The 23455-nt window shown below is 52.5% G+C and overlaps 1 protein-coding gene across 3 annotated transcripts in view, besides 6 other annotated features; it reads left to right on the top strand.

The window, feature by feature from the left end:
• Nucleotides 25-554: an enhancer, noted in NCBI's record as "active region_27011". NCBI's record gives its function as "activates an Ori minimal core promoter by ATAC-STARR-seq in GM12878 lymphoblastoid cells {active_cell/tissue: GM12878}" and the evidence as "EXISTENCE:reporter gene assay evidence [ECO:0000049][PMID:35858748]".
• Nucleotides 1055-1154: an enhancer, noted in NCBI's record as "active region_27010". NCBI's record gives its function as "activates an Ori minimal core promoter by ATAC-STARR-seq in GM12878 lymphoblastoid cells {active_cell/tissue: GM12878}" and the evidence as "EXISTENCE:reporter gene assay evidence [ECO:0000049][PMID:35858748]".
• Nucleotides 1765-1844: a silencer, noted in NCBI's record as "silent region_18932". NCBI's record gives its function as "represses an Ori minimal core promoter by ATAC-STARR-seq in GM12878 lymphoblastoid cells {active_cell/tissue: GM12878}" and the evidence as "EXISTENCE:reporter gene assay evidence [ECO:0000049][PMID:35858748]".
• Nucleotides 3513-3942: an enhancer, noted in NCBI's record as "active region_27009". NCBI's record gives its function as "activates an Ori minimal core promoter by ATAC-STARR-seq in GM12878 lymphoblastoid cells {active_cell/tissue: GM12878}" and the evidence as "EXISTENCE:reporter gene assay evidence [ECO:0000049][PMID:35858748]".
• FAM167A (family with sequence similarity 167 member A) overlaps nt 8166-23455 on the top strand; it is a 54433-nt gene continuing 39143 nt past the window's right edge. Inside the window, exon 1 of one of the 3 annotated variants that reach the window (XM_011543840.4) lies at nt 8166-8208. The gene's annotated coding sequence lies outside the window, so the exon portion shown is untranslated. Of the gene's footprint in view, nt 8209-16532; nt 16559-17320; nt 17449-23455 lie in introns of those variants that run through there. The other 2 variants (XM_011543838.4, NM_053279.3) reach the window with 2 other exon arrangements.
• Nucleotides 15389-16158: an enhancer, noted in NCBI's record as "H3K4me1 hESC enhancer chr8:11325425-11326194 (GRCh37/hg19 assembly coordinates)". NCBI's record gives its function as "activates a minimal SCP1, AML or CMV promoter by ChIP-STARR-seq in naive H9 embryonic stem cells {active_cell/tissue: H9 hESC(naive)}" and the evidence as "EXISTENCE:reporter gene assay evidence [ECO:0000049][PMID:30033119]".
• Nucleotides 17404-17613: a silencer, noted in NCBI's record as "silent region_18931". NCBI's record gives its function as "represses an Ori minimal core promoter by ATAC-STARR-seq in GM12878 lymphoblastoid cells {active_cell/tissue: GM12878}" and the evidence as "EXISTENCE:reporter gene assay evidence [ECO:0000049][PMID:35858748]".

The raw sequence follows: 23455 nt of genomic DNA, 5'->3' as shown, positions 1-23455 counted from the left end.
TGACCTGGCGCCTGCTAATTATAATGCCCCACTTCTCTGATGACAGGCATTGCTCCATGGAGTGGTTTTGTGGCCCCAGCATGGCCCCCTACAGCTGTGTGGGGGATTCCCATGCAGAGAATACTCATAACAGCCAACACTGATTGCACTCTTACTATGACCACCTGCTGTTTTAATTTCTTTTCAGGTATTATCTCCTCTAGTTCTCAGACAACTCAGTGAGATACTGCAGTTTCTTTTACTGTTCTCTGAGACGTTAAGTGACTTGTCCAAAATCACAAGGTTAGTAAAAGGCTGAGCCAGGGCGGCAAGCCAGAGAGCCCCACCTCACGGCCCAAGCCCTCCGTGGAGGTCAGTAAGCTCTGGCTGCTGGTGGGTGTTTTCCCGACGACACGGAGACGTCCTGTGTGTAGTCATGGACAGACGCTCAGTGGTTCAGGGTGACAGCACTGGCAGAACAAGGCAGCAGATCCATCCTATTTGATCGCACCCTCCACAGAGTGATGCTGATGTCCTTTACTCTGCTTTCTAGTGGAAGCCACGGGCCTCATTTGGCAGCACTGAGATGGGGCTGGGCTATGAGGACCCATCAAAGTCCCTGAAGATGAGCCTGTGTCCTCCCAGGGCCTTGGACAGGTCGTAGCTCACCTACTCAACTGCAGAGATCCCAGGCCCTGTCCTGAGATAAAGATCCTGATAGGATTCAGTTCTGTGTCACCACCCAAATCTCACGTCTAATTGTCATCCCCAGTGTTGGAGGTGGGGCCTGGTGGGAGGTGATTGGATCCTGGGGGTGGATATCCCCTCATGATAGTAAGTGGGTTATCCTGAGATCTAGCTTAAAAGCACGTAGCACCTTCCCCGCTGTCTCTTCCTCCTGCTCCCCCCGCCATGTAAGACGTGCCTACTTCCCCTTTTGCCCTCCGCCATGATTGTAAGTTTTCTGAGGCTTCCCCAGCCAGGCTTCCTGTACAAACTGTGGAATCTTGTGCCAGTTAAACCTCTTTTCTTTATAAGTTACCTGGTCTCAGGTATTTCTTTATAGCAGCGCAAGAAAGGACTAATACAGATGCCAACTCAGCCAACAATCTGGAGTGCTTCCCTACTGACCTCCTGCCCTGTCAATTTGCAGTTAGAGACAGCAATCATCACCAGACAGAGTGACTGTGTGTGTGAACAATGAACTGATCTAATATTGAGCAAGGCGCAGGTGCTCACTAGGGTTCCTGATTATTTGGACCCCATTGTCACTTGGGGACAATGGAGTTCGTCTCTGTGTATCTGCGGCTTGCTAAGATGCTTCTTTATACCAGAGCTCACCAACCATGGCTGTATCACCAGAACCCAAACTTCTCATTTTCGAGCCCTGATATAAGTGTAAGAGCTGCCATGTGGAATCTCAGGGGCACCCATCCCAGGAGCTGGCACCCTCTGTTGTCTTCCAAAGCTCCCTCAGGGAAAGGAGCCCTCCCTGCTGGAGGTGCTGCCACACTGAGCTATTTGGAGGCCTCCAGAGGTTTCTGAACTACTCAAAGCTAGGCCCCACTCTAAAAATATCCCGGGAACTTTGTCAATAGTGCCTGTGGATTGGTACATTGTTCTCTTGCTCCTACATAACAGCACCCCCTCAAAGAAAAAAAAGAAAGACAGAAATGCCCTATCAGAAAATAAGATGCCCAGTGTGGCTGAGCCCTTGGAGAAAGTCCACTGGCTGCTTTCCTATTTGTCAGCTAACTGAAGCCGGCCTCTGGGCCCAGGACTTATGTGTGGATTTTGTGCAGAGAGCTGGCAATGGCCCCAGAGCCACCTGCAGGGGAAGTTAAGGGCCAGCACAGGCTCAGGCTCGAGGCGCTAGGGGCAGAGAGGAGTGTGAGTGTATTTGAAAGGGAATAGAGCAGGGAGGAGACAGTAAAGAGTTCTAGAGCCCTGCAGCCATGCCTCCGGTAGCCCCTCACCACCTGTGAGTACCTGTGTTGGCTATAGCTCTGCACCACGCTCTCCAGTCATGTGCCTGCCTGTCTGCATCACATCTTCACTTGGTGTCACTTGGTGCCACTTGGGTGTCAACTTAGGGCTTCAGACCTAATATGTCCAAGACCAAGCTCTCGATTTTTCCTCTTAGACCTACTTCTTCCCCAGCTCAATGACTCAGCAGCATCATTGACTATGTTGCTCAACCCTGAAACCCTGGTGGTCATCATCCTGGTGACTATATTCTCCCAGTCTGCAAATCCTAAGGGCTCTACCTCCACGGTTATCTGCAGTCAACCCACTTTTCCCCATCTCCATTGCTATCAGCTGGGACGAGGCATCAGTTACCTGGACAATTGCCTTCTCTGATCACCTTTAACTCCCCTGCCCCCAGTACTCTCCCGTGAGCCACCCTATTTTGTTTTCTTAATGGTATTTATCAATACCTAAAGGTGCCTGTTGCATTGGTGGATTTGATTGCTACTGCCTTGCCGTTCTTTTCCGCCACTCTACCCCCAGCAACCTCGAACACTCCTTAGCTCATTAAAGGTGCTTGGTCGTAATTACTCAGTGATTAAAGGGACCCTCACACACAGGCCTTATTCTCCCCATTTTACAGGGTCAAGAGAAGGAAAGAGATTTGCTCAGGGTTGCAGTCCAGTGAGGAGTGACACCCAGACTGGATCCTAGGTCTCCCAACCCGCAGTCCAGTCCTCTTTTCTCTCCAACACTTGGCCTTTTAGGAAACATTTCCCAGACTTCCATGCCACAATCCCACTAACTGGTTTGAGTTGAAAGCAGATGTTCTAGGAACTTCAACCCCTGAAGGCTGAGCTGCCACATATCAAACTTTCTCAGTAATTTCAATAATTTAAATGGCAATGTTTATAGCTCAGAAACTCCAGGCCATCCCAAGACCCCTCAGGGGGCCACCCCGCCCTGGTAGGGCCCACCCCTGGTGAGTCATGGCTGAGTCAAGGGAAGCTCTTTCAGGCCTGAATGCCTAGGAGAGTCCTGGCCTCGCCCAGGGCAGCACCAGAAGCCGAGACTGAGCCAGCATCACTCGATGGACACAAACCAAACTCCAGGAGCAGGAGGGTGTGGCTGGAGCTGGGGTGGGCTGGGGAGGTGTGGTGGCTGCGGACGTTGGCATGGGTGGGGGGGGTTCTCTCTGGGGAGGTGAGAGAGGTTCTGGATGGGACAGGGAAGCCTGGAGGCCCCCAGAAGATCTTGGAATCTCCTAACTCACTGGGGTGAGGCCCCAAATAGCCCCCACACTACCTGAAATGCTTCACTTTAACTTTTCATTCACAGAGTGCCTTACTACCTTGTTCTAAAAAAAACACTGCACAACTATAATACACCAAATAAAACATTTTTAAAGAAGCTGGTGAGGGGAGGGGTGGAATGAGTCAAAGGGGAAGATAAGAGCAGAGGAGTATGATGGAGCTGGGAGTGGGGACTGTAGGCACGAAGCCTGCCATGAGTGCCTCTCCACGTGATGGGGCGGTGGGTAAGCAGTGTACTGTTTACTCTTATAGCCTCCAGTGGTATGCTGAGTTGATCACGACCCTCATACTTTCAGCCTTCAACACCCCAACACTCCTTATCTAGGAGCCAGGGTGAAGAGCACAGCCCCACCGTTCATGGATCCATGTCCAAAAGGGAAAAAACAGCCAGCTGTTCAAAGAAGCCCAGTTCTCCTGAGGTTGAGATCACACAAAATTCACCCAAAATTCCGGAATGTCTGGTGAGTCCCCTTGGGGGGGATGCTGTGTAATGTAGGACATGACCCCCCCCGTGTGGCAGACTGTCACAATTACTACTTGAGACCATCATTATAACAGTTACTGCTGTTAGTAATTGAGACCGTCATTACGAGACTGAACGAAGGAGGACAAACACAGAAATGAAAACTTAAAACAAAAAAAAACTCTTTTAAAGAAAAGGGCCAGGGGAAGAAGAAAAGAGCTCCCTACTTCTAGTGAGCAAAGCAGTAGCCCTGAGCTTCTACAGCCCTTCGTATTATTGGGGAGTGAGAGCAGGGAGGAGGAGGTAACGATTGGTCAGCTGCTTGATTGATCACAGGTTCACGTTATTGCTAACAGGCTTCAGATTTGCCTAATCACAAGAAACACTTGTGCCTGGGTTGTGACTGCCCTCAGCATTCCTTCTGAGCTGCAGACGCAGTTTGTCAGTTTGCCCAACATCCTGCTCTCATGAGAATAGTTTGCTGTTTACTCATATAGCGTCCAGTGGTATACTGAGTTGATCACGAACCTCACACTTCCGGCCTTCAACACTCCAACACTCCTTACAGAAGCCCAGAACGAGGCTCATGGGCTGTTTCCTGTCCCACACTACATGCCAAGGGGCGGGAAGGCCCAGGGAAAGCAGAGTGGGCAGGAGAATCCATGGACCCCATTTGAAGACCCTTTGGGCCTTGGGTCCTTTTTAAAACAGGCCTTGGACAAATCATTTTAACTCTGGAGGCTCAATTTCCTCATCAATCAAAAGAAAATGATACATTTACAGAATGACTACAAGGGTCCCAGCTACTCAGGAGGCTGAGGCAGGAGAATGGCGTGAACCCGGGAGGCGAGGCTTGCAGCGAGCCGAGATCGCACCACTGCACTCCAGCCTGGGCAACAGAGCAAGACTCCATCTTAAAAAAAAAAAAAAAGAATGACTACAAGGAAGAGCAAAATTACAAATATCAATGCATTATAAAGCCATAATAATTAAAATAGTGTGGTATCAATTAACTCAGGAATATACAGCTAGATCAATAGAATTGAATAGAATGACCCATGCATATATTGAAATAAAGCGTATTAAAATGTTGGCATTTTCAACCATCAGAGAAAGGATAAATGATGCAATAAACAGCTCACTACATGACGATGGAGTACTTGGGTATCCATACAAAAAAAAAAAAATTACATGCTCACCTAAGTGGTAACAAGAGAAATGAAAAGTAACAGTAAGATATTGTTCTCCCATATCACACACAAAAATGTCAGTCACTATCAGGAGTTGGCTTGGTTCATAGGTAAACAGGTCCCTAGTGGTTGGCATATACATGGTTACATCGATATATAGAGTGAATTCTGTCAGTCTCTAGTAAAACAGAACATGTGCTGGACCATTCACCTAGGATGTCACCTCTGGGAGCCTGTGCTCGAGAAGAATGGGTGAACAGGATGCTGTCTCAGTGCAGTGACTGAGAACAGCTGAAATGCCCAACAGGAAGGGAGTGGGTTGTTGAAGTGGCTTAAATCTGTGTGTATCAATAGCAAATGCCAAGCTGGGTGCAGGGGCTCAGGCCTGTAATCCCAGCACTTTGGGAGGCTGAGGCAGGCAGATCACATGAGGTCAGGAGTTCAAGATCAGCCCGGCCAACATAGTGAAACCCCGTCTCTACTAAAAATAAAAAAATTAGCTGTGTGTGGTGGTGTGTGCCTGTAATCCCAGCTACTCAGGAGGTTGAGGCAGGAGAATCACTTCAACCCAGGAGGTGGAGGTTGCAGTGAGCCAAGATCGCCCCACTACACTCTAGCCTGGGTGACAGAGCAAGACTCTGTCTCATAAAAATCAAACAAAAAAAAAATCAAAATACCAATTGCAAGAAACAAAAAAAAGCAAATTGCAGAGCAATGCATATAACTATAATGTTAAAACCATTAAAAAATACAAATAAACAAAATAAAACTGTATGTGCTTTATATACACCTGCACGTAGAAGTCATAACAACGGGTTAGGGAAATATACCCTTAACTCATAGTAGAGATTATTATGGGGAGGAGGAGCCAGAAGCAGCTTTGAGGGGTGGGGGTTGGTTAAAAAGGGCTTAGCCTTACCTATAATGTTAGAATTTTCTAGAAGAAGAATCAATTTACTTACATCTAGCATACTTTTAAAAATAATATGGGCTATGAAAAACATAGAGGAAATTATGCTGAAATGTCAATAGCAGTTCGTTATGGTTCATGGGAATATAGATGACTGCTATTTTCTTCTGGGGAGAAATTTTTATTTTTCCTTTTTTTCAAATTTCCGACATCCAAAAAGAAATGGGACAGAAACAAAAACTAAAGGATCTATTTTTTAAAAAAAATCTAAACATATGATTGAAAAACGATAAAGAAATACGTGTGCTGAGTGCCGGGTGTGACTGGTGCATGCCAGCCACGGCTGCTGCTTCATATGGCGGACTCTGGAGAAAACAGAGGACTTAACTGTGTCCTGGGACCTGAAATTCCCCAGTTAGATGGCTCGGGGTAAAGGATCACTCTCTTTTAAAAAGCAAACATTCTAGAAGGATCTATCTAGGAAGCCAGTGCTTGGCCTCCCCTAACTGGGCTTCTTCCCTTTGTGGTAGCCAGAGTGGGTCTCCCTGAGGTAAGGAAGCCTCATAAGATGTCCAAGTGCAAGGAGTAGTAGGATTAGGTGGAAGAGAGAAGGATAAAGAATTCCCAAGCTGGAGACAGCCCTGTGGGATGGAGTGCAGGCTCCATGGGGTGGGGGCATGGGGTGCGGAGCACAGGCTCCCAGAGACCCCCCAACAAGGGCTAATTGAACAAGGCTATGGGAATTCGGGTGGGAGCTGAAAAGGGAACGGGAGGGGGCTTTGAGTGCTTCCGCCAGAAAGAAGGGGATGGGAGAGGATGGACGCCTCCTTCAGAGAAGGGGCTGAGAGGAAGGAGGGGGTGGGTGGGCCTTGTTCCGAGCCCTTCCTGCCTAAGGCCTGCCCTTCTCCTCAGCCGTGGCCTTCAGCCACTTGCTCCTCCCTGGCAGGAAAAGCAGACCCTCAGCTCCCAGACCCTTAACTCCCCTCAGCTTTCCTCAGCTCCCAGAGGAGCTGCCTTTCCTCACCTGACTGCCTTGGGGACCGGCTCTGTGGTGGGCAAACAGGCCGGGCTGGGCAGGCCCAGGCCCAGGATAAGTCCAGGGAACGGAGGCCTCTTTGTCTTTGCGGATCCAGGCCGATGTCGCCCTTGGCCTCGGTTCCTCTCCTCAGGGCCTCCCCAGGGGTGGGTGGCCCCAGCTTTGCTCAGACACACTCTCCCTTCCCACCACCCCAATTTCTTTGTCACAGACTCAGGCCCTGCCTCCTCCCTGGCACCCCCACTCCAGCCCAAAACACCATCTCCCAAACAAGGCACACAGGAGAGCGTTTTAGGTCTACATAGGGCTCTAAGCCAGAGGCTGCCTAAGTTCCCACCCTGTCGCTCAGGCCAAGGCAGTGATCCCCCCAGGAATGGTTTTAAGGCCCTGGGGCCCCGTGTTCCCTTCCTTGGCTCTATCCTCCCCCACCCCGGCTCACATGAATCTCCAGAAACCCAGGTGCAAACACCTGGGCTCCCAGAGGCTTTGGAGGGAGGTGGGGCAAGTCATAGAATTTTCCCAAGTTGTCCTATGTCTGAGCAGAAAACACTTGCACAGGCCTGGCTCCTGGCTCAGGGCGGAAGGCTGTGGGAGGATAAACGCCGCCATCAAGCCTGGGCAGGGACTCATATTTGCTACCAGCACTGGGTGCTAGGGAGGTTGGTGAGTCCACGCCCAGCTTCCCCTGTGGCCTGGGGGCACCTCGTGAAGGGATCTGAGCCTCTCTGTCTATAGAAAGGATGCGTCAAAGTTTGTCAAAGTTTGCCTTTTGCCGATTTCCCGAGAAAGAAGATGGAATCTTCTACAACTCCATTTTAGCTCCTTAGAAAAGAGGCAAGATCACACAATCCCATTAAAAACAGTGGGGAGATCCATGCCTGTCCTTCTGTCATTGACTGGGGATGGGGGAAAGCCGGGGGGCGGGGGTGGGCACTGGTGGCCACATCACATCAGCAGTGAACTAAGGGTGCTGCTTCCTCTGGCCTCTCCTTCCTCTCCTCCTGCTTCATTCCTAAGGTTGGAGAGGACAAACGGCTTGGCTCACACACCACCCAGCCCGGCACCAACTACCCATCTGGAACATTCCTGGCTTCCCTGGGTTGGCTCATCTCCCACCCATTCCTTCTTCAACAGAGGAAACTAAGCAGAAGGGTTATTGAGAATGCACGCTCATTCATTCATCCATTTGTTCACTTGTAGAAACATCATTGATTACGTACCCACTGCATTCCAGCCCTGCACTAGGCACTGGGAACATTCCTTACTCAAAGATGAATAAGAAACCACCCCTGAGCTCATAGGACTCGTAGTCTACTGGGAGGATAACCAAGAGGTCTGCGTCCACAGGGGTGAGTGTGGGAGTGGCAGGTGTCCCAGGTGATAGGGAAACACAGGTGAAGGGCAGCAATTTGAGTTGGGGGAGGGGACATAGAGCAGGGGAAAGGAGCTAGAATCAATACATTTAGGGAAAGATTAGAGAATCTGTGTGTTCTAGGACCTGCAAATAGGCACATCTGACCTGATTGAGTCAGATCATATAATTGGTACTGGATATGTTTGTATGGGTGTGCTTGTGTGGGGTGGGTTTTTAAAACGTAATGGCTCTTCTGATGGCAAGAAGACTTTTGCAGGAGGTTCAGAAGGAGTATGATGTGTAAAAGGTTGGATCTCAACTGTATTTTAATCTTGGCTTCTGCTTGATTTCTTTTGGGCCTCATCTGATTTCTTTTAGACTCTGAGATCCTAGAAGCCTGAGTGACTTGCGCAGCTGAACATCAGGGTGAGAAGGCCCAGCTGGGGGTGGGGTGAGGTTGAGAGGCTTTTATGCAGACACTCTAAAGTATTTGCAATTGCCAACAGATCGTTTTTCCTCTTGGAAAACTTCTAAGAAAATCCAAGTCCTTCAACTCTGTGAGCATGCACAAGGGTGCAGAGAGGCCCATAGGGAAACCGAGTAGGAAAACTGAGGCCAGGCTGGAGGGGCACAGGGAGGGGGTCCCAGAGGAAAAGCCGAGGAACCTGTCCTAAGGTGGGGGCACCACGGTGGGCCTTGGCTGCAGAACTGTTAGCCCCAGGCTGGTCTGGCCCTTCCTGCAACCACTGGACTGCCCAGTCTGCTGGATCAAGGCCTTTATGAGACAGTAAGAGGGGAAGAGTCCTGCTCATTTGTTTATTCTGACAGTGTCCAGGGGACTCCCATGGGCTCCTCACTCCAGGACACTTGGCTGCTGGGCAGAGTGCAACCCACTCTGAACCTTTCTCTCTTCCCTTCCTTTTGCCTCCCTTCTCCCTCTCCCCTCCCCTCTCCTTCATGTCGCCTTCGCTGTTGATGTTATTGTGATTCTTCTTCTTCCTCCCCCTCCCCCTCTGCCTCCTCATCTTCCTCCTTACCCCCTCCTTTTCCTCTCCCTTTCTCCTTCCTACTCCCTGTCTCCTCCCCGTAAGCCTATGGCGTCATCCCACAGAGCCATTTGTCTAGGAGGGCTGATTGTGAAACATTTTGATCAGACCATGAAACATCAGTGGGTTCTTGCAGAAGTGATTTCTCTGTGTGTTCATCAGTCTGTCCTCTGCACTGTGGCTTCTCGCATCTTCCAGGACCCTAGGTAAGCCCATCTCTGGGTGCCTGTATTGATTTTTCTCTTCTTTTCTGCCTCTAGTTCTGTCTGTGAAGCAGAAACCAAGTCTCAATCCTAAGATGTGAACCATAGCCTGGCAGCTGACCAGGTTGGAGTGGCTTGCTGCTTTCCTGGGCCAGGAAGTGCTCTGGAGTCTGTGCCCAAAAACTGTGGCTGAACCACGGGGCATGTTTGTCTGTTCCATGCGCCGTCCTGTTTTGCTGGTGTCAGGTTCCAAACAGGGCTACCTCATGCTCTGGGAAGACAAACAAGGCAGCTAAGATATCCAGGAATGCTGCCAGTTTGCTTGTTGAATATTTGTTCATGCTGTGCCTGGTACCAGAATGAGTGAAAGCCACACCCCTTTCCAGGTGGTGCGCAAACCAAGAGCAGTTGGCGCGCAGACGTGATAAAACAGTGTTGGCCGGGCACGGTGGCTCGTGCCTGTAATCCCAGCACTTTGGGAGGCCAAGGCAGGCGGATCACCTGAGGTCAGGGGTTCAAGATCAGCCTGGCCAACATGGTGAAACCCCATCTCTACTAAAAATACAAAAAATTAGCCGGGCATGGTGGCGCATGCCTGTAATCCCAGCTACTCAGGATGCTGAGGCAGGAAAATCGCTTGAACCCAGGAGGCAAAGATTGGCAGTGAGCTGGTATTGCGCCACTGCACTCCAGCCTGGGTGACAGAGTGAGACTCTGTCTCAAAAAAAAAGAAGAAAGAAAGAAAAGAAAAAGAAAAAGAAACAAACAAAAAAACCACCATTCCCTGTGTGCTACTCCCTGTCTAAGACTGTCAGGCATTTTCTAGGCGTTAATTCTAATCCTCACAGTGAACTTCATGGTAGCTCTTGGTACTGCCAATGTGTAGAGGAGGAAACTGAAGCTCAAGAGACTAAGGGATTTGCCCAAAGCAGCCTGACAGCAAGGGGCAGACCCAGAGATAGAACCGCACCCTGCACTGCGTACACTTCCTCCCCACCTCCCTGGCCAGGATGGGGATGGGAAAGAAGGTGTGCGTTCTTTTTGTTTGAACATCTACGTGGCAGTGGGTTAGAGTTGATTTTAGGAGAGAAGTTACGTATAAGGGAGGCTTTGTCCTCAGTATCTCTTCGGGGTACAGTTGTTGAAAAGAGGTTGAATATTAAGAGCCCAAGTCCCGTTTCCCCAAAAATCCCCCCCAGCACTGGTGAATGACAGGCAGTCCTTCTCTTTTAGCACCTTGTTTCACTCCTGCCTCCAAAGCCTGCCTCATGTCTCGGCCTTCCTGATGACAGAATGATCATCCCTGTATGCAACAAGCTTCCCCCCACACCAGTGTTCATCAGTCTGTCCTCTGCACCTTGGTTTCTCAAGGTATCATCAGGGATTGGCCGATGGAGATGAAATGAGCCCCTGTGTCCTCGCTCCTGCATCACTGACGTTGCCGTGGGCTATTGAGTTGGAGAAGACATTGGGCTTCCCTGTCCTGGCTTCCATAAGGGGCAGAGCTCTACTGCAGGTCCTGGTCTTGCCTGCAGGTCAAGGGCCACCTCACCCTGAGTTCAAGCAGGCTCTTCCCCAGGATGGGGGTGCCGCCTTGTTCCTGAACATCCTGGGCTGGCTCTCATCCCAGCCTCAAAACCAGCCTGTTTCTTTTATCTTGCTGGCCTTGATTTATAGTAACTGCCAGACACCACTAATTGACAGTTCCTGGTCCGGCCTCCTGCCTCTGCCCAGCAGGATAGAGTCTATTCAGCAATTGCAGAGTGTCATGGAATCAGGGGTCAGAGGATGGCAGAGCTGGAACCACTCGTTCTAGTGAAAAGAAAGCCATCCAACCAAAGGAAGTGATTTGACAAAGTTCCAGTTAGTAAAAGAGCCCACCCTGGAACCTGGATCTCCTGGCTCCTACTCAGGGCTCTTTCCATTACTCAAAGTAGCCAGGCTCACTGGGTGAGAGGACTGCTTAGAATCACGTCTAGAAGGCTCTCCCCTGCCCATCAGGGTTTCCGGTCTTCTGTTGTTAGTGGTGACATTTCTGGTGCCCTTCAAATGCTGTGCATGCAAGAATCGCTAGAACCCAGGAGACGGAGGTTGCAGTGAGCCGAGATCACGCCACTGCACTCCAGCCTGGGCAACAGAGAGAGACCTTGTCTCAAAAAAAAAAAAAAAAAAAACCCAAAAAACAAAAAACAAAACAAAACAAAAACAAATGCTGTGCATGTTCAGGAGGCCTCCTTCCAGCTGTCACCAAGGATGTGCTGGTGCTGGGCATTCCACAGCATATTCTAGAAGATGTTCTTACAAGTGTTCACAAGATAAAACAGCAAACTCCACAAACTCAAAGACATCACAATGGAGAGGGGCAGGATACGGGAGGTGATCGCTCATGTCTGTGTGCGGTGTGCTGCGTAATCTGCTCCTTAAACAAACCAGCAAGAAAGGCTCAAATCAGTCCCAGCCTGACATTTGAGAGGCCCAAAGTGAATGCACAAAGGGAGGCCCACATGCCGTGTCTCTAAATATTTGAAAGTTATAAATCAAGTTAATAAACTGGAAAATAGGTTTCGTTCTTTCCTCCTGCCTTGACAAATATGCCTTTATAACAACTTCAAAAGCAAGGCTCTGATTTGCATCCTTGGACCCTTGAACAAAGAAGGGAGGTGGGAGTGAGGCCTCAGGCCCCACCTGTGGCCCCCCTCTTACTTTTCCCACCCAGAGCTTGGACAGGGGAGCAGCTCAGCCTGAGAGCGCAGCCTTCATCCAAACCCCATAGACCAGGAAGAGGCCACACAGGCCTGAACGTGGCCCATCTGAGCAGGAGATCCCTGGGCCCTAGGTCCCAGGTGGAAAGGAGGGAGTGGATTCTGAGAGGGCAACCCCTGACCCCCGGCCATCTTGCCTGGAGAAAGCGCAGGGCAGGGTTCTCTAAAACCCAGCCCAGGCAGCCCTCTCGCTCACGGATCAAGGCAGTACTATGAACAGTAAAATCATTTCCATCTTATTGATGATGTAACTGTAGCTCAGAAAACTTAAGTGACCGCCCATGGTACATACTAATCACCAGAGGAGCTGGGATGCAACCCGGGTCTGCCTGACTCGTGGTCCCCTGCTGTCACCACCTCTATTGCCGTCCCAATGTCATCATCACCTGGGACATGCGGGGGGCCTCATCACCTTGAGCCAGCAGAAACACAGAAACAACCTCTGTGTGGGCCTCCTGTCTCAACCCCTCACCTGCCCAGCTCTTCTGAGCTAGGAGAGCCGTGATGCGCTCCTTCCTCATCCTCTGCCTTTGCAGTTGCGCCGAGCCCTGCAGCTGTGCCCTTGTGCCCGCCACTCCTCACCTCGGCCGCTGAGCAACCTCCTGCTCTGCACAAAGCCTCCGCACATGCCCTTCCAGATGCAGTTCCCTCTGCTGCCTCAGAGTGGGCACCTCTCCTAGCTGAAGCCCACTCCTCCGCCTCACCTAGGCTCAGGTGGAATCTGTCACCTCCCTACTCCAGCACTAAGGTGGACGCTCTGTGTGGTGACTGCTCTGTTAATTATCTTCCTACCAAAAAGCCACGTGCGCCACACTCCCATGTCTAGCCCCCGGGTGGCACAGAGCCAGCCGCCCCTAAATGGAACTAACAGGTTCCCTAGAAGACAGAAAGCTGGCCCTCATTGTCCTTCTGAACTTCAGCCTGAATCAGCCTCTTCTGAGAGATGAGAGCAGGGAGGAGCCATTGCAGCTGAACATGCCTAAGACAGTCACTTCCCGCTTCTTCTTGAAACTCTGGGCCCACGGATGGACAAGTCCCTTCACAGGAAAACAGCAGAGACCGGTGGACTCTGGCCCTGGGCTGAGAGTCTTCATTGCTGCCTGGAGCAGGGCAGGGATGTCGCCACCCTTAGTGTCCTCTGTCCCACAGAGCCCAACAGAAATTTCATCCTTCCTTCTCTTGTATCCCTAGAATCCAGGAATCGCCTTCAAGTAGCTTATAGACTCAAAAGGGATCAGGAGAGACTGATTTAGAGAGGGCTTTGTGCCCTGAGAGTGACAAGAGAGCAGAGTCTGGTTCCAGCTGTGCATTTGGAGCTCCCCTCGGGGGAAGGCCAGTCCTCACGAGGTCTGCCAGGCCCAAGGGCTCTGCCGCAGCACCTGCCCTGCCCTGTCTCTGATGTCATCTCCCACCCATGCTCTACTCCCTGCCTGCTGCATTCTGGCCTCGAGGCATCCATGCTGGCCCCTGATTGTGGCAGGCACGTTTGTTGGCCCAGGGCCTCTGCACTGACCCTTTCCCTAGAACACCCTTCCCCAAGACACCACAAGACCCCCTCCATCGTCTCCCTCAAATCTTTGCTAGAAAACCACCTTATTAGCGAGGCCAGCCCTGCCTACCTTGCCTGAAAACGTGCACACTCTTCCCCTCCTCTGCCATTACTTCCAATCCAAGTCTACAATTCTGTTTTTCTATCACTCACAATATTGCTTATTTACTTAGCGTATTTGTCGGTCATCGTCTGCCTGCTTTCCTCTGCTAGATTATCAGTTCTCAAGGGCGAGGTCCTTCATCTAACTTGTTCACTAACATTTCCCAAGAGCCTAGAACAATGTCTGGTATTTAGTGGTACTAATACGTATTTATTGAACAGATGAATAAACGAATTGGGAGAAATTCTGAAAGAATATTTTAAGTTTAAATCTTTTATTTATTTATTTATTTATTTATTTATTTATTTATTTATTTTTGAGACAGGGTCTTGCTCTGTTGCCCAGGCTGGAGTGCGGTGGTGCAATCATGGCTGACTGCAACCTTCAACTCCTGGGTTCCAGCAGTCCCACCTCAGCCTCCCAAGTAGCTGGGACTTCAGGTGTGTACCACCATGCCCAGCTGAGTTTTCTTTCTTCTTCTTCATTTTTTTTTTGTAGAAGTGGGGTCTCACCATGTTGCCCAGGCTGGTCTCCAATTCCTGGGCTCAAGCAATCCCCCTGCCTCGGCCTCCCAAATTGCTGGGATTACAGGTGTGAGCTACCATGCCTGGTTGGGCATTTTTCTTGACTCATCTATTTCACAGCTTCCTGTAGGATTATAAGAGGCAATGTCTCATGCATCATGCACCAACGGAAAGAAAACTTCTCTGTAAGGAATCAAAGGGAAGAGAGAACCTCTAGGTGGCCTTGCCTTCTCTGGCCCACCCAGATCCTCCCACCATCACTGGGTTTCAGTGTGCCTGACACAAAAGGAAGTGCCATCAGAAACACCAACACAGTGCCATCTTCCCTTTTGAGTAGTGTTTCTTGATGTTTCTCATTACAAAACGATTCATTGTAGAAAACGAATGCAGGCTTACAGAAGACATTTTAAATCCTCCATTATCCTGCAGCCCAGAGATAACGACAGCTAATATTTGCATACACTCTTCCAATCTTTTTTCCATGCATACATATGAATTAGATATTGGAATGAGAAGTTTCATAATGTACACAGGATTTGGTGTCCCAGTCTTATTTACTTAGCGTTAAATCGTTAGTATTTTTCTATATGATCAAATAGCTTTTGAGAATATTATTTCTATGGCTACATACCATTCTGTGCTAACTCATTTATTTGACCACTCCATATGATTTCACTTTGGAGTTGAGGCTACTCCAACCAAGACTGCTCTTCCTCCTCCCCTTCCTCTTTCCTCTGGCCCACTCTCCTCCTGGTCCCCATCACTGATTACCCTCCTGCCCGCAGACAAATGCCAGGCAGAATGGGAGCCACAGGGCAAGACACCACCCTTGCCTTGGACAGGCTGCCTGTCCATTTGAGGCATGCCACAATTCCCCCATGAGAAAGCATCTGCACTCCCAGAAATAGAAGCCATAGGTCAAACAGGGAGCCAGGAGGTAGAGGTGGGACAAAGCATTTCCAGATGGGGCTGAATGGCCCATCCAAAAAGATCTTGGAGCATTCACCACGTGCCAGGGCCATGGGCACACCAGTGAGCAATGCAGCCAACTAGGGCTCAGCACCGGGGCTGTGGTCAGAAACAGCCAGCACCCAGAAGGATGCTTTATCCCCAAGTCCAGATTGAGGCTCCTGCTTGCAAACATGGTTCATGCCCTTCCGGAGCCTACTGCCTCAGAGGGAGACACATACTAATCAAATAACCTCACAGGTAAACTTGGAATTATAACTGGTCCATGAAGGACATAAGGCAGGGGGCTGCCAGCACCTGTAACCTGGGGTTCCCTTAGGAGGCAGAGCTGCAGCAGCCTGTCGGGAGGAGCAGGTGCACAATGGGACTGGAAGAGGGTCTGTTGTCTGGGGAGCAGGGTCTGTGCAAGACAAGGCCCTAGAGACGGACAGAGGCCAGCCAGGCCCCTGCAGCCAAGCTAGCTGTTAATCCTCAGAGGACTGGGGGCGTTGAAGGCCTTTAAGCAGAAGCAGCTGAGACTGGATTTCCATTCTTAAGAGTTTCCCCTGTTTGTGGAGGAGTAACTGGCTTGGGAGGCGCTGAGAGAGGGTAAAGGGAGATCAGTATGGAGACTGCGTGCACGCTTGGACCCGGGTGGCAGGTCCCAGAACTGGGTAGGGCAAGCTGCTGGTGGCTTGGGTAGGGACAGTGGCAGCGGGCAGGAAGAAGGAAGGAGTGATGTTTAGGAGCTGGAATCAGAAGATCTGGATCAAGGCTGTGACTCTCCAAAAGATGCTTGTTAATACACCCGCTAGCTTAGGACCGTTCCCTCATTAGCATGACTAGGTCTGTACTGGCAAGATGTCTCCTTAGACGACGTCCCTCAGAGGACCTTCCAGTGAAGGTCAGAAAGGAAGGGAGTAGGTCAGGGCTGGATGCGGAGTTGCAGTGAAGGACGCGGGCACCAGAGGGCAGCACGAGTGTCTCGGGCCCCTGCAGGGGCTAAGACCCCACAGAAGGCCCGACCAGCCGCGCACCTGCCTGGAGCCTGCGCCAGTCACTTTGCAGCCCCACCACTCAGCTTCGCGTCTGGCCATGTAGGCGGCGCCTGCGCGCACGCCCAGGGCTATCGTGAGAATGGCAGACTGGAGCCCTTTGAAAGACGCTTCCAGCCCCGGGCATCTAGGAAAGGTGCTTGATGAGGTCTGGGGTAAGAGACCCCCATCCAGTAACCAGCCTTGGGGCCTCCAGTGTCTGGCCTGGGCCCCTCGTCAGAAGCTGGGACTGGTCCTGAAGACCTGCGGTCCGGGCAGCTCGGGCTGCTGTCCTGCCTGTGCCTTAGGGTTTGCAGCTCTGGGCTCTGATGCAGCAGGGACTGGGTCTTAGAATCTAACGACAGCCAGAGGTGGCCGATGCCGCGCCCCTGGCGGGACAGACACCCTGTGGTTAGTGGGGCAAACGCTCGCGTCTTTGCACCTCAGTTTCCTCATCTGGCAGCCAGAGATGCCTACACTTGCCCTGCTGGGTCGTTGGGGGGCGTGGCCCACGGTAGGCGCTCGCGGGCAGTCGTGGCCGCGGGTCCTATGAACTCCTGCCGTTTGGGGGTGGGTGAGGCCCTGGGCGTGGGGTCCCCCTGCGCCCTCCATGCGGACAAACTTCTGACAGTGGCGCAGTCACGTTGCCACAATTGGGGGAAACTGCCTTGGTTTCGGGTTTAATGAGAAAATGGATGTTTGGGTTTGGTTTCATCTGGGGTTTGGCGAAGGCATGTAGTTCCTCTCCACTCGCGGGGGCTGCCCGGGCCGGTGAACCGACAGGGCGCTAGGACCCGGGGCGCGCTCGGACCCGGGGCGAGAACGCGAGGCCGGGATCGCGGTGAAAGGCTCGCGGCGGAGAGCTCGGCCGTCGCCAGGCAACCGCCCTGACGCAACGCAGGGGGAAAAAAAAAGTCCTTTCCGAAAGGAGCAGCGCCGAGAATTCACCGGAGCTCGGGGAGGCGAGGCGGGAGCCCTGAGCTGAGGCCGGGCAGCGCGGACCCGCGCAGGAGGAGGCGGCGGGGACACCGGCGAGTCCCCAGCAGGGCCCCTGGGCTCCCGGAAGGTGGGTTCGCGCCGGCGGCGGGGACTTTCCCAGGGACTGGGAGGTGTGGCCGCGGCGGGCGGCGCAGTCTGGGCAGGGGCTGAGGCGTCGCAGGTCCCCAGCGCGAGCACTGGCCCGGAGCAGCCCGATCCCAAAGCGCCCTGGAGGGGACGCGCTCCTACCGCCCCCCCGGGAGAGGCCGCTCATGCGCTCCCGCGGGTTCGCTGCCCTCCCAGAGGAGCCGGGCAGCCAGGGCTGGACTTCATCTCCTAGCTCCCTGCTGGCCGTGTCCGGGCTCGGATTCTGGGTGGAGGTTCGGGGTCTGCCGTCTGAGAGGGAGGGCCGCACTCAGCCTCTCCGGGTCCACTCCCAGGCGGCTGGTGACCTCCAAGCCCAGCCTGGCTCCTGTGTATAGGTTCAGTGAGATGGAAGTTTCTGTCCCCACGGATGCGGTCCCTAACTAATGGGAGGTGGCCCAGGGCACCTGGACCCAAGGGTGCTCTAAGGACCCAAGCCAGTGTGACCTGAGGGAACGGCACAGCCGCAGGGGCCCCCGGGAATGAGCAGGTCAGCCGTGAAGGTGGGCACCCTGAGTCACCGAGACACCGGAGCACAGACGGCGGGGGGGAGGGTGTCTTCTTCAGCCAAGTTAGGTTGGATGTATAGGTTTTCTGCACACCCGTTACTGCCTGGTTTTTATTCCCGGCGGGGCTTGGAGGGAATTCTGAGGACTGGGACCTCCTGGGAAGATCTGGAAGGAGGGTTGACTCTAGGTTGGGGGCTGGCCACTGCCGTATGCCTGCAAGCAGGTTCTCCCAAGTCAAGTTTCCACAAACTCCCCGTCATTGCTGGAGAATCCCAGAAGATGAGATCACGTCCTATCCACAGGGTTTTCACCAAGGGGCACATGCTCCAAAGCAGCTTCCCACTGACACAGTAGACACAGTCCTGCCCCTCACTAAGCTCGGGATGGAGCGTGGAGAGCGTGGACAAAGTCTTGGGAAAGCAGAGGTGCTGTGGCGCCTGTTGCCTGAGGGCGTTGGCAGGATAGGAACTTCTGCAGCGTGTTTTTAAGGAGCTTGGAAAGCAGCCATGGGCTGTGCTTGGAATGGATAAAGATGACAGCTCTTCTTTCTTGAGTGCATTTATGGACCATGCACTACTTAGAAACCCTTCGCATCCCTTGGTCACTCCATCCTCCCCATCAGTCTTCAAGGAGACTCTATTATCCGTTTTGCCAATGGGACTCTAAGAAATTGAGTGACCTGGTGTGGCTCCCACACCTGGTGAGAGAGCAGAGAGTCAGCCTCACGTGCCTGACTCCCGGGACAGTGCTCTCAGACGAAGGCTGCTTTGGGAAATCTGAGGCATCTAAGGCCCAGAGAGGGGCAGAAACCACTCACGCCCAGATGAAATGAGAACTGTGTCGTGGGGCTCATCTTATGACCTGAGAAGGTCCCCTGCCTGCTTGAGGAACCCTGTGGAGCCAGGAAAGCCATTTCTTCTATTAGGAGCTTGCAAGGCTGTGTTGTTGGGCCTGGCCGGCCTCAATTCTTCCCACCTGAAGCAGAAGAAAGGGTTGCTCCCCCACACCCTGTTCTCCTCCTTGCCTGCCCAGAGCCCCCAGACTCCCTGCGCACTTGCTCCTGTTCTTCTGGTCCTCGCAATTACATGCATGGATTTCTACTAAATTGCCAGTCCCCGCCTTCCTGTCTACTAGCTTGGCCCCCCTCCAGGAGGAACTCTGGCAGGGAAATAAATTAAGGCCATGCCTAACTATTTGCTGAGAGAGAGCCACAGAGCCCCAGGCCAATGAGGAAGAAACTACTTGCTAGGCTTCTCACACCCTGGCTGCTGTGTTCTCTAGGCAAATCTTGCTCACAGAAAGCCCCGTTGGCCCTACAGGAGCCCCGGTATTCCCAGAACCCTTTGGGAGCTGTGCTTTCCCAAGGGACTTGAGCTGCTTGCAAAGGCGGAAAATGAGTAACTGAGCACTTTGCTCCTGGTTTCCAGACCAGGGGTGGGAGAGCACGCACGTGCCACTAACTGGAAATCCCTTAGGATTAGCCTGGCTGGCTGTTACTGTGCAAATGCACCCCGAGACTTGGATTGCCATGTGGAGACAGGAAGGAAAAGCACAGACTGAAACAGACCTTGAGGGGCTGAGGATGGGCTACATGGTGGGCAGGGGGAGGTGGGGAGCAGGAAGGATGGGACAGGGTGGGAAAAGAGTTTAGGAGGGGCGGCAGGTGAGCCTCACTGGCTCTGCAATCACCTGTAGAGTCTGAGCTGCCACCGAGGGCCGTGTTGCCAGGATGAGTCAGGTAGGCCGCAGGTCTCAGCTTTTCCCTGGTTAGGACCGTTGCCCTGTCCATTAAAGGCCAACTCTTCCCCACCCTGACCCCTACCACTTCTCTCTGGAGAAGTGTTGGAGAGGAAGGACAAGCATGGAGAAAGAAGGTGAGCAGAGCAGTTCAAGGGGGGCTGCTCCCACCTCACCCCCTTTCCTTCTGCACACTGCCTGCCTGCTCATCTCTGCCAGGCAGCATCAAATCTCATCCATCAGCCACTCTCGAGAGGACTTTGCTGAGCAGTAGCCCAGTCTCCCTGTGGGCACAGCCGTCAAGGGGGCCTCTCTTCTCTAGCAGCAGCTGTCTAGCGTCAGGCTCCTCTCCATGCCAGGGCCCTGCCACGTGGCCTTAGCAAGCACATAGTAGCTCCCCCCAAGTTGTCATCTATAGTGGGGGGTGGCTTTGCTCCCCCACCACAAAGCTCTCTTCACTGAGGAATTTCCAGAAGGTCCCTCGGGTGCCCATAAGTGTGATCCTCCTCCCCAGCGGCCTTTGCAGAAACCTGAAGAGGATGAGGGTTCACCTTCTCCCACTGGGGGCATGGACCAAGCCCCCATTTCTTCAGTGTGGCCGGAAGTTCCCTCCAGGGCATCCTGATCCAAAGGTGGAAGCTGGCAGTAGATGCCCAAGGGCTCCCTCGCAGGGCTTGTCCCTTGGGCATCCCTAGAGGGACAGGCCCAGGTCAGACCCCATTTTCCAGGTCCAGTGGCAGGTATGGAAAGAGCCTAGGCAGTGACTTGTGCACTGGCTACAGTTCCAGGCCTTCTCGAAGGCTGGGCAGTGTTTCCTCATTCCAGGAAGCCAGCGGAGCCTCTGCGAGCTGGCTGGGCACAGCAGCCCCTAGGTCAGCAGGCTCATGCTTAGGGTGGTGGCCACCCAGGAAGGTTCTGGATGAGGGTCTTTGCCTTAGGGACCTGGCCCCCACTGTCCACCATCAAGTTGAAAGTGACACTACCTCCCTAGTCTTGTGATCAGCTCCACGCACTTCGCCCTGGAAGTCCCATGCCAGGCGTGAACTGACCTAAGTCCCTCCAGTCACAAAGGCACTTCCCAAATTTGGTTGTGTGGCTGCTGCTATTTTGTTTATTTGTTTGATAGCAGCCACTGAAAACTTGGAGGAAGGTGAAGCCAGCCTCATTATCAAGTTTGAATGAAAGCAGCCTCAGAGCAAATTCTGCCAGACGTACACATTTTTGGACAAATATTTACCTGAAACAAGTCCAGCGGAGTCCATACAGCCTGTCCTGTGGGCTCGGTGAAGCCCAGCAATCTGCTCTCTGCTGCCCTGACCACACCTCCCTGGAGCTCTCATGGATTCTTTTACCTGCTCTTTCCTGAGTCAAGAGTGTCTCTGAATTCATTTAGCCAACCCACACATCTTGAATACCTCTGTCTTTACCAATGAGAACGCATTTCTAATATTTACTTTGCTAATCATCAAATGCCCAATGCTGACCAGAGATAAAGACGCTGAAGTGCCTGTCCCTGCTGCCTCTGGAGCAGATGCTTTCTGCTTCGAGGCAGTGGCTGCGAGTGGGGTAGGGGTGGGCGTTGCTGATTTGAATACATCTAGGTTGTAGCTGGCATAATGAAACCACACAGAACAGCCCACCATCTCTGCAAAGGAGTTTAGGATCCAAATGCACCACCCTACCAAGGAAGCAGAAGGTGAAGGCCGTGCCCTCAGGGAGCGTGCAGTCTGGCGAGGTTGCTGATGCAGTAGAGTCCTGAGCTCACAGTAAAATGCTGTTCTGCACGCTTCAGTTAACTTTCGCAGTGCAGGAGCCATTTCCCAATTCGATGGACCAAGGAGAGTGACAGCCAAGCACAGTCAAGAGCAGGAGGTGACAGTCGTATTAGAGGTGTAACTAAAAATTCACGTAAACTTGATCTCATTTGGTCCTTCCAAGACTGTGAGGTACGATCCATTACAATCCTGTTTCATGGATGTGGAACCTAGGCCTAGGAGGGTTGAATCTGTTGATCAAGGTCATAGAACTAGTAAGTGGCAGGCTGGCTGTCAACCAACCCACGTCCCCCGACACCCGGCTCTGCCCTGTTCTAACTTGCTCCATCCCTTTCTCCTGCTCCTGATTCCTTTCCTCTGCGAGGTGTGAACCCGGGAGGCTTCAGCAGCCAAGTACCTCCAGCGCAAGCTGACACGGCAGGGAAGCAAAGTCACACATCCCATTTTCTGCCCTGCCTGCGGGCACTCAGGCCATATGTCCCTGCCAAACCCCAGTGCAGGCACAGCGCTGCACCTGCAGCCACTTACAGGCTGCACTGGGCAGTCCAAGCCAGGCTGAGGCCACACTGGGACCCCACTGCGTCCAAACACCAGGAAACCCTAAGGACCCTTCTAGCCCCTGAGAGGTCAGGACCCCCAGCCCGAACGTGGAGGTGCCCAGTTGGCATAAGCACAGGGAACACCGTGAAAGGCCTTACGAAGCCTTTTAGAAACTCTGGGCTTTGGAACTTGTGCTGCAGAGTAAAATAGAAATCAGATCATCTGGACAAATCCCCCCTTGAGCTGGCGTTTGTTGATTCTGCCTATTTTCAACTTGGAGCCAATTATCCTGTGGATTCAAATAGTCCTAGATCTGCCTTGTTTGGAGGCTGAGGCCAATGCCAGCTGGTTAGGAGCCACTCTGGTGGGCTGAAGCCACAGGGGAGGGCACACATCCCCCGTGTCCTTAGCTGTGCCCTGGTGTCTGAGTTTCAGCCAGCTGGGAAGTGTTTCCTGTTTGTATAGCCAGGGTACCGGCCTGCGCTGCATTCTGCTTTCATCTCTGCAGATTGCTTTAAAGGCCACTCTGTGTCTACTTTCTGCCCTCTAATCCCCACTGCCACCATGGCCTTTGGCCAGAAAAGCCCTGGGTCTCATGTGGCGGTTGGCGGGGCGGCAGCAGGCTGCCTTAGCCCGTCTGGGCATCCCTGCCTTGTCGAGCGTTTCCCGGGAGGAAAACCACATCCTTCTCTTTTTTTCCCATGGCTACTTTCCCCCTCCCCATCTCCTCCAAACTGTCAGATTCTCAGGCACCTCTTCCTGCCTGCCAGGGCCGCCCTTTCCCAGAGCCCCGCAGCCTTGGAAGGGACACACCAGCGACTGGGCGTCCCAAGAGCCCCTCTCCCTGCAGTGGCCCTGGGCTTTCTCCCCGCCTTGCAGGGAGCCCATAAATTAGATCTGTGGCTCCCAGGAGCCAGGGCCTCTTTCTGACCAACAGGGAAGCAGTATTTCTTGGCAATTTTCTCAGCAGCCTCTTTCACCGGGCTAAATGAAAAGGAAGGTTTCCGCGCTCCCAGCCTTCCTGCAGGAGGACTGTGCGTCAGCTTGAAGCAGCCTGAGCCCATCAATTATTCAGCATGGACCCAGCACTTTGAATTTGCAAAGGTCTTAAGTATTTTTATAGATTCTTTTCTCATAATGTCCCAGCGAGACAAGCAAGGTTTCCCTGTTTCCTAGACAATAGATGCAGGGTTCAACTCGGAGTCAGAAGACTTGGGTGCAAGCGCAGCCAGCGCCACTCATGGAGCTGTGGGACCTGGGGCAGTTCTTTCGATGGCTCTGGTGTGCAGTTCTCTGTGGTATAATTCTTAGGAAGGCCTCCCTAGCCCAGGTCATTGTGTGTGTGGGGAAAAAAATTTGCAAATGCAGTGTGATTAAAAAATGCATGTGG

This window comes from Homo sapiens, chromosome 8, assembly GCF_000001405.40.
Source record: "Homo sapiens chromosome 8, GRCh38.p14 Primary Assembly".
Taxonomy (NCBI): Eukaryota; Metazoa; Chordata; class Mammalia; order Primates; family Hominidae; genus Homo; species Homo sapiens.
This window is presented reverse-complemented; position numbering and strand designations above follow the sequence as displayed.